At 40.8% G+C, this 10,228-nt stretch overlaps 1 annotated feature.

Moving 5' to 3' along the window:
• Nucleotides 8,817-10,016: an enhancer, noted in NCBI's record as "BRD4-independent group 4 enhancer chr8:36347406-36348605 (GRCh37/hg19 assembly coordinates)". NCBI's record gives its function as "activates an origin of replication core promoter dependent on BRD2, P300/CBP, MED14 and CDK7 cofactors, and independent of BRD4, by STARR-seq in HCT116 cells {active_cell/tissue: HCT116}" and the evidence as "EXISTENCE:reporter gene assay evidence [ECO:0000049][PMID:35650434]".

Here is a 10,228-nt window from a genome sequence, read left to right on the forward strand (position 1 = left end):
GAATACTATGCAGCCATAAAAAATGGTGAGTTCATGTCCTTTGTAGGGACATGGATGAAATTGGAAATCATCATTCTTAGTAAACTATTGCAAGAACAAAAAACCAAACACCACATATTCTCACTCATAGGTGGGAACTGAACAATGAGATCACATGGACACAGGAAGGGGAATATCACACTCTGGGGACTGTTGTGGGGTGGTGGGAGCGGGGAGGGATAGCATCGGGAGATATACCTAATGCTAGATGACGAGTTAGTGGGTGCAGCGCACCAGCATGGCACATGTACACATATGTAACTAACCTGCACAATGTGCACATGTACCCTAAAACTTAAAAGTATAATAAAAAAATAATAATAATAATTGAGTGACTCCCACAGGAACAATGAGTACCTCTAACTGACCCGATCTCTGTTTCAAGATACTAATTTTATCTATAATCGTCTAGGCTTCCTGGAGAAATAAGTGATTCCAGGTAAAACTTCCAGGCAAGCTTTGGACAGTTTAGTGTGCTGGAAAGCAAAGATCTATTTAAAGCATAATTAAGTTGTGTCAATAGAAGTTAGGATCTGACCAGAAGGGACTCACACTGGTTACATAGGGCATAACTTGAGGGAAAAAAAAAAGACAAACACCAACAGCAATTGCAGCACACTTAACAATAATAATAATAATAATTTAAAAATACTCAGCACCACAAAATACTTGAAAAATGGCAAGCAAACCCTCTCCTTCTCAGAAAAATGCAACATCATAGAATTATGTGGTGATAGAAGTAGGTGATAAAACTAGGAAGTCACTGTTTTTTTTTTTTTTTTTTTTTTTTTTGAGATGGAGTTTTGCTCTTGTTGCCCAGGCTAGAGTACAATGGCTCGATCTCAGCTCACCACAACCTCCGCCTCCCGGGTTCAAGTGATTCTTCTGCTTCAGTCTCCCAAGTAGCTGAGATTACAGGTGTGGGCCACCATGCCCAGCTAATTTTGTAGACGGGGTTTCTCCATGTTTGTCAGGCTGGTCTCAAACTCTTGACCTCAAATGATCCGCCTTCCTTGGCTTCCCAAAGTGCTGAGATTACAGGCGTGAGCCACCTCATCAAGCTGGAAGTCACCAATTTTTAACATCTAACATAATAAAATGATGCATAAAAGACTGACAAATAGAAGTTAAAACCATTGTGTAAAATATTGTGGGGAAAACAGATATTTACAAAATCTCAAAGTGTCACTATCCCAATTATTTACTACTTCAAGGGAAATAGCACCTTTACAATGGAGTGATGACAGTCCACTGGAACCAGATAATCCAATTTAGCATTACCAAGAGTGGTGATGCAGGTCCTTTACATGTGGAGGAGGAGAGCAAAGGAGTCAAAGTGATATACTGTGAGAAAGGTTCACGTGAGCGTTGCTGGCTTTGAAGATGTAAGAGAGCCATGAGTCAAGGAATGCAGGTGGCCTCCAAAAACCCCAAAAGGCAAGACAATGGATTCTCCCCTAAAAGACTGAGAAAGGAATACAGTCCTTCTTATACCTTGATTTTATCCCAATGAGATCCAATACAAACTTCTGACCTCCAGATAATAGGGTGATAAATCTGTGTTGGTTTTAGGGCACTAAATTTGGAGTGATTTGGTATAGTTACAATAGCAAACTAATATACCTATAAAGATCATTTTAGGGACAATTGGTAAATTTGAATATGGACTATACATTAGATGACATTATGAAATTGTTGTTCATGTTATGAGGCGTGTTAATATTATTGTGGTTATATTGGAACATGTCCTCATTCAAGGATATATGTTCTGGAGTATTTAAGGGTGAAGTATCATCAGGGTTGCAGACTTTTAAAAATGATTCTGCAAAAAATACATAAATATGCACGCACAGAGGTAGAAACAGTGAGAGTGAGAGAGAGAGAGGAAATGTGGCAAATATTAACAACTGGTGACTCCAGATGAAGTATATATATATATTTTGTACAAATCTTTGAATTATTCATTAAGGCTTAAAATTTTTCAACATAAAATGTTGGAAGAAAAATCATTTCAGTTATCTGGGAAAATGCATAAGATGAAAGATTTTCTTCTTTCTTTATTCTTATTAATTAACAATGCAAAGTAGTAAATGATGAAGTGTCAAAATGAATGGTACTGAGAGGTTATAAAGATTCATAGACAGAAGAGCACAGCATGGCCCTGAGTTTTGATGAAGGCCTTTTGGAGGAGGTAAAACATGAGTTGAATCTTGAAGAGTAAGTAGAGGAATGGGGATGTGCTTTCCATGAAAAGGATGCAGCAGGAGCGTGTGAGCTACGTGAGGGACTGGGGGAATGGAAGAATGAGCCAAGGGTGGGGGTATGGAGATCTCAATGTGCCACACTGGAATATCAAGGAAAGACCCACAGAGTATGGGTTATTCTCCACACCAGGACAGCTTCGAAAGGGAAAGGAGGTAACAGGTAGGGCAATTTGATGCCAACCAATCCACAGGACCACCCTATTTGAAGGAGACGGACTTGTAAAGATGAGCATTTTCAATGAGCGAATACATGATATTTAGAAAAGGAATCAACTAGAAGAAAAACAGAGCTGTAAGATTTAGGAAGATCAGTTTGGTAGCATGTGATGCATAAAATAGATTTGGAGGAATCTTGGATCAGAGACTTGGGAAGCAGTTAGGATATTGTTTCTGTAATCTGGTGTGAGGGGACCAATGTCTTGCCCCAGCAGAAAAGCCAAAGTTAGATTTTTCTCTTTCTTCATTTATTTTTATTTTTTTGGAAGGAAGGGTTTGAGGAGAGGTTTTTATTTGGTCTGTTTTATTTAAATATGCTTTCAACCTGCCATCCTCCCAAAGAGCTTCCTTATATCTATCTAGAAAATAGAATGTTTACCTAGTTGGGGGAAGGAGTGCTTGGCTCTTGCTCCTCAGATGGTTTCACAACTATCTTGCGCAAGTCCTGTGTTCTTTCCTTTGCTTCAAGGGGGGTGCGCTTTCGAATCTCAAAAGAAAGTGATTCCTTTCTTCCTGTGTATACTGTCTGTCACCCCACCTTTGAAACATTAAATGAAGGCTACCCTAGCTGAATGAATGTGGGAAGAGCCAAGGGATATAATAAACAAACAAGGGTAAAAACAACATAAACAGCATTCCAAAATATCAGTCCACCAAAATTAGAATAACATGTAAGAAATGTTTTATCATCTGTAGGTATGAAATGCTATGAGAAAACAAGAGAAATCTCCCCGGACAGTGGGCAAAAGAAGGTGTTAATAAAAGAGTCTCACAAATGAGAGTCAAATAAATAGAATGACTATTTTATTTCAGCCTTAAAGAATAAATAGGCATTTATCTTTAGACAGGCAAGAGGGAGAAAAACAAGAGGTACAACAGCAGCAGAGGAAGAGCAGAGCAGCAAGTAAGATGTCAAGCTCTGAAATCAGACAGGACAAGCCTAGGTTCCAATTGTGATTTACCAGCTCTAAGCTGGGTAATCCTGGACGGTTAGTTAAGCTCTCTTAGCCTCGGTTTGCTCATTTGTAAAATGGGTTATGATAATACAGATTTTTTTTTATTATACTTTAAGTTTTAGGGTACATGTGCACATTGTGCGGGTTAGATACATATGTATACATGTGCCATGCTGGTGTGCTGCACCCACTAACTCATCATCTAGCATTAGGTATATCTCCCGATGCTATCCCTCCCCCCTCCCCCCACCCCACAACAGTCCCCAGAGTGTGATGTTCCCCTTCCTGTGTCCATGTGATCTCATTGTTCAATTCCCACCTATGAGTGAGAATATGCGGTGTTTGGTTTTTTGTTCTTGCGATAGTTTACTGAGAATGATGATTTCCAATTTCATCCATGTCCCTACAAAGGACATGAACTCATCATTTTTTATGGCTGCATAGTATTCCATGGTGTATATGTGCCACATTTTCTTAATCCAGTCTATCATTGTTGGACATTTGGGTTGGTTCCAAGTCTTTGCTATTGTGAATAATGCCGCAATAAACATACGTGTGCATGTGTCTTTATAGCAGCATGATTTATAGTCATTTGGGTATATACCCAGTAATGGGATGGCTGGGTCAAATGGTATTTCCAGTTCTAGATCCCTGAGGAATCGCCACACTGACTTCCACAATGGTTGAACTAGTTTACAGTCCCACCAACAGTGTAAAAGTGTTCCTATTTCTCCACATCCTCTCCAGCACCTGTTGTTTCCTGACTTTTTAATGATTGCCATTCTAACTGGTGTGAGATGGTATCTCATAGTGGTTTTGATTTGCATTTCTCTGATGGCCAGTGATGATGAGCATTTTTTCATGTGTTTTTTGGCTGCATAAATGTCTTCTTTTGAGAAGTGTCTGTTCATGTCCTTCGCCCACTTTTTGATGGGGTTATTTTTTTTTTCTTGTAAATTTGTTTGAGTTCATTGTAGATTCTGGATATTAGCCCTTTGTCAGATGAGTAGGTTGCGAAAATTTTCTCCCATTTTGTAGGTTGCCTGTTCACTCTGATGGTAGTTTCTTTTGCTGTGCAGAAGCTCTTTAGTTTAATTAGATCCCATTTGTCAATTTTCTCTTTTGTTGCCATTGCTTTTGGTGTTTTGGACATGAAGTCCTTGCCCATGCCTATGTCCTGAATGGTAATGCCTAGGTTTTCTTCTAGGGTTTTTATGGTTTTAGGTCTAACGTTTAAATCTTTAATCCATCTTGAATTGATTTTTGTATAAGGTGTAAGGAAGGGATCCAGTTTCAGCTTCCTACATATGGCTATCCAGTTTTCCCAGCACCATTTATTAAATAGGGAATCCCTTCCCCATTGCTTGTTTTTCTCAGGTTTGTCAAAGATCAGATAGTTGTAGGTATGCGGCGTTATTTCTGAGGGCTCTGTTCTGTTCCATTGATCTATATCTCTGTTTTGGTACCAGTACCATGGTGTTTTGGTTACTGTAGCCTTGTAGTATAGTTTGAAGTCAGGTAGTGTGATGCCTCCAGCTTTGCTCTTTTGGCTTAGGATTGACTTGGCGATGCAGGCTCTTTTTTGGTTCCATATGAACTTTAAAGTAGTTTTTTCCAATTCTGTGAAGAAAGTCATTGGTAGCTTGATGGGGATGGCATTGAATCTGTAAATTACCTTGGGCAGTATGGCCATTTTCACGATATCGATTCTTCCTACCCATGAGCATGGAATGTTCTTCCATTTGTTTGTATCCTCTTTTATTTCCTTGAGCAGTGGTTTGTAGTTCTCCTTGAAGAGGTCCTTCACATCCCTTGTAAGTTGGATTCCTAGGTATTTTATTCTCTTTGAAGCAATTGTGAATGGGAGTTCACTCACGATTTAGCTCTCTGTTTGTCTGTTGTTGGTGTATAAGAATGCTTGTGATTTTTGTACATTGATTTTGTATCCTGAGACTTTGCTGAAGTTGCTTATCAGCTTAAGGAGATGTTGGGCTGAGACGATGGGGTTTTCTAGATATACAATCATGTCATCTGCACACAGGGACAATTTGACTTCCTCTTTTCCTAATTGAATACCCTTTATTTCCTTCTCCTGCCTAATTGCCCTGGCCAGAACTTCCAACACTATGTTGAATAGGAGTGGTGAGAGAGGGCACCCCTGTCTTGTGCCAGTTTTCAAAGGGAATGCTTCCAGTTTTTGCCCATTCAGTATGATATTGGCTGTGGGTTTGTCATAGATAGTTCTTATTATTTTGAAATACGTCCCATCAATACCTAATTTATTGAGAGTTTTTAGCATGAAGGGTTGTTGAATTTTGTCAAAGGCTTTTTCTGCATCTATTGAGATAATCATGTGGTTTTTGTCTTTGGCTCTGTTTATATGCTGGATTACATTTATTGATTTGCGTATATTGAACCAGCCTTGCATCCCAGGGATGAAGCCTACTTGATCATGGTGGATAAGCTTTTTGATGTGCTGCTGGATTCGGTTTGCCAGTATTTTATTGAGGATTTTTGCATCAATGTTCATCAAGGATATTGGTCTAAAATTCTCTTTTTTGGTTGTGTCTCTGCCCGGCTTTGGAATCAGAATGATGCTGGCCTCATAGAATGAGTTAGGGAGGATTCCCTCTTTTTCTATTGATTGGAATAGTTTCAGAAGTAATGGTACCAGTTCCTCCTTGTACCTCTGGTAGAATTCGGCTGTGAATCCATCTGGTCCTGGACTCTTTTTGGTTGGTAAACTACTGATTATTGCCACAATTTCAGCTCCTGTTATTGGTCTATTCAGAGATTCAACTTCTTCCTGGTTTAGTCTTGGGAGAGTGTATGTGTCGAGGAATTTATCCATTTCTTCCAGATTTTCTAGTTTATTTGCATATAGGTGTTTGTAGTATTCTCTGATGGTAGTTTGTATTTCTGTGGGATCAGTGGTGATATCCCCTTTATCATTTTTTATTGTGTCTATTTGATTCTTCTCTCTTTTTTTCTTTATTAGTCTTGCTAGCAGTCTATCAATTTTGTTGATCCTTTCGAAAAACCAGCTCCTGGATTCATTGATTTTTTGAAGGGTTTTTTGTGTCTCTATTTCCTTCAGTTCTGCTCTGATTTTAGTTATTTCTTGCCTTCTGCTAGCTTTTGAATGTGTTTGCTCTTGCTTTTCTAGTTCTTTTAATTGTGATGTTAGGGTGTCAATTTTGGATCTTTCCTGCTTTCTCTTGTGGGCATTTAGTGCTATAAATTTCCCTCTACACACTGCTTTGAATGCGTCCCAGAGATTCTGGTATGTTGTGTCTTTGTTCTCGTTGGTTTCAAAGAACATCTTTATTTCTGCCTTCATTTCGTTATGTACCCAGTAGTAATTCAGGAGCAGGTTGTTCAGTTTCCATGTAGTTGAGCGGCTTTGAGTGAGATTCTTAATCTTGAGTTCTAGTTTGATTGCACTGTGGTCTGAGAGATAGTTTGTTATAATTTCTGTTCTTTTACATTTGCTGAGGAGAGCTTTACTTCCAAGTATGTGGTCAATTTTGGAATGGGTGTGGTGTGGTGCTGAAAAAAATGTATATTCTGTTGAATTGGGGTGGAGAGTTCTGTAGATGTCTATTAGGTCCGCTTGGTGCAGAGCTGAGTTCAATTCCTGGGTATCCTTGTTGAATTTCTGTCTCGTTGATCTGTCTAATGTTGACAGTGGGGTGTTAAAGTCTCCCATTATTAATGTGTGGGAGTCTAAGTCTCTTTGTAGGTCACTCAGGACTTGCTTTATGAATCTGGGTGCTCCTGTATTGGGTGCATATATATTTAGGATAGTTAGCTCTTCTTGTTGAATTGATCCCTTTACCATTATGTAATGGCCTTCTTTGTCTCTTTTGATCTTTGTTGGTTTAAAGTCTGTTTTATCAGAGACTAGGATTGCAACCCCTGCCTTTTTTTGTTTTCCATTTGCTTGGTAGATCTTCCTCCATCCTTTTATTTTGAGCCTATGTGTGTCTCTGCATGTGAGATGGGTTTCCTGAATACAGCACACTGATGGGTCTTGACTCTTTATCCAATTTGCCAGTCTGTGTCTTTTAATTGGAAAATTTAGTCCATTTACTTTAAATTTAATATTGTTATGTGTGAATTTGATCCTGTCATTATGATGTTAGCTGGTGATTTTGCTTGTTAGTTGATGCAGTTTCTTCCTATTCTCGATGGTCTTTACATTTTGGCATGATTTTGCAGCGGCTGGTACTGGTTGTTCCTTTCCATGTTTAGCGCTTCCTTCAGGAGCTCTTTTAGGGCAGGCCTGGTGGTGACAAAATCTCTCAGCATTGGCTTGTCTGTAAAGTATTTTATTTCTCCTTCACTTATGAAGCTTAGTTTGGCTGGATATGAAATTCTGGGTTGAAAATTCTTTTCTTTAAGAATGTTGAATATTGGCCCCCACTCTCTTCTGGCTTGTAGGGTTTCTGCCGAGAGATCCGCTGTTAGTCTGATGGGCTTCCGTTTGAGGGTAACCCAACCTTTCTCTCTGGCTGCCCTTAACATTTTTTCCTTCATTTCAACTTTGGTGAATCTGACAATTATGTGTCTTGGAGTTGCTCTTCTCGAGGGGTATCTTTGTGGCGTTCTCTGTATTTCCTGAATCTGAACGTTGGCCTGCCTTGCTAGATTGGGGAAGTTCTCCTGGATAATATCCTGCAGAGTGTTTTCCAACTTGGTTCCATTCTCCCCATTACTTTCAGGTACACCAATCAGACGTAGATTTGGTCTTTTCACATAGTCCCATATTTCTTGGAGGCTTTGCTCACGAGCCTTGGTTTTCAGCTCCATCAGCTCCTTTAAGCACTTCTCTGTATTGGTTATTCTAGTTATACATTCTTCTAAATTTTTTTCAAAGTTTTCAACTTCTTTGCCTTTGGTTTGAATGTCCTCCCGTAGCTCAGAGTAATTTGATCGTCTGAAGCCTTCTTCTCTCAGCTCGTCAAAGTCATTCTCCATCCAGCTTTGTTCCGTTGCTGGTGAGGAACTGCGTTCCTTTGGAGGAGGAGAGACGTTCTGCGTTTTAGAGTTTCCAGTTTTTCTGTTCTGTTTTTTCCCCATCTTTGTGGTTTTATCTACTTTTGGTCTTTGATGATGGTGATGTACAGATGGGTTTTCGGTGTGGATGTCCTTTCTGTTTGTTAGTTTTCCTTCTAACAGACAGGACCCTCAGCTGCAGGTCTGTTGGAATACCCTGCCGTGTGAGGTGTCAGTGTGCCCCTGCTGGGGGGTGCCTCCCAGTTAGGCTGCTCGGGGGTCAGGGGTCCGGGACCCACTTGAGGAGGCAGTCTGCCAGTTCTCAGATCTCCAGCTGCGTGCTAGGAGAACCACTGCTCTCTTCAAGGCTGTCAGACAGGGACATTTAAGTCTGCAGAGGTTACTGCTGTCTTTTTGTTTGTCTGTGCCCTGCCCCCAGAGGTGGAGCCTACAGAGGCAGGCAGGCCTCCTTGAGCTGTGGTGGGCTCCACCCAGTTCGAGCTTCCCGGCTGCTTTGTTTACCTAAGCAAGCCTGGGCAATGGCGGGCGCCCCTCCCCCAGCCTCACTGCCGCCTTGCAGTTTGATCTCAGACTGCTGTGCTAGCAATCAGCGAGATTCCGTGGGCCTAGGACCCTCCGAGCCAGGTGTGGGATATAGTCTCGTGGTGCGCCGTTTTTTAAGCCGGTCTGAAAAGCGCAATATTCGGGTAGGAGTGACCCGATTTTCCAGGTGCGTCCGTCACCCCTTTCTTTGACTCGGAAAGGGAACTCCCTGCCCCCTTGCGCTTCCCAGGTGAGGCAATGCCTCGCCCTGCTTGGGCTCGCACACAGTGCACGCACCAACTGGCCTACGCCCACTGTCTGGCACTCCCTAGTGAGATGAACCCGGTACCTCAGATGGAAATGCAGAAATCACCCGTCTTCTGCGTTGCTCACGCTGGGAGCTGTAGACCGGAGCTGTTCCTATTCGGCCATCTTGGCTCCTCCGATAATACAGATTTTATAGCTTGTGTGTGAAGAAAAAAATAGATGACGCATATAAAACACTAAGCACTAAACTAGCATTAACAGAATTAAGGTAATGACAGTAGGGGAGATAAGATTTGAGCTTTATTTTGGGCAGATGAAAGATTTGGTGCCTGACAAGATATGGGAACAGTGGAGACAGGAAGTGAATTAAAGATGGATTCCAGTCTGGGCAATGGGCAGTGACCAATTTAGGCAAGGAGGGCCAGGTTTCTGAGAAGCAGTGAAATCATTCTGGTTTACAGGTGGTGAGACAGAGATTTTGTAGCACAGTCATGTGAAAGCACTCTTAGCTGCTAGAAATATGTGTAATAGGACCGAGTGCCCTCTCCCTTTTCCAATACAAACTAATAATGCTGAATTGATCTTCCTAATGCAAAGCTCACACAATGAAAAGACACTGATCACTGCCAAGCCTAAATAGCTCCAAAAATGTCAGAATGTAGAGTTAATTAAAGCAGTGAATCATTATTAAACATATTTATCTGTATCAGAAACTATGCTAGGAAGTTATAGGTTACGGTGCCAACAACAGTCCATTATTTCATTATTTATTCCTCCCCACGGTGGACAGGGGGCATTTTAACATAAAAAGGCATTGAAGTCATATTGGGAGAAGCAAAAAATAGTATTAAATGGGAAGTGTATTTGTCTTTTTGCTGCTGCATTCTGAAGAATTAAGATCCACTGTTTGCCTCCAGAATAGAACTGTTAGTGTGTCTTTCTTTG

This window comes from Homo sapiens, chromosome 8, assembly GCF_000001405.40.
Source record: "Homo sapiens chromosome 8, GRCh38.p14 Primary Assembly".
NCBI classification, from domain to species: domain Eukaryota; kingdom Metazoa; phylum Chordata; class Mammalia; order Primates; family Hominidae; genus Homo; species Homo sapiens.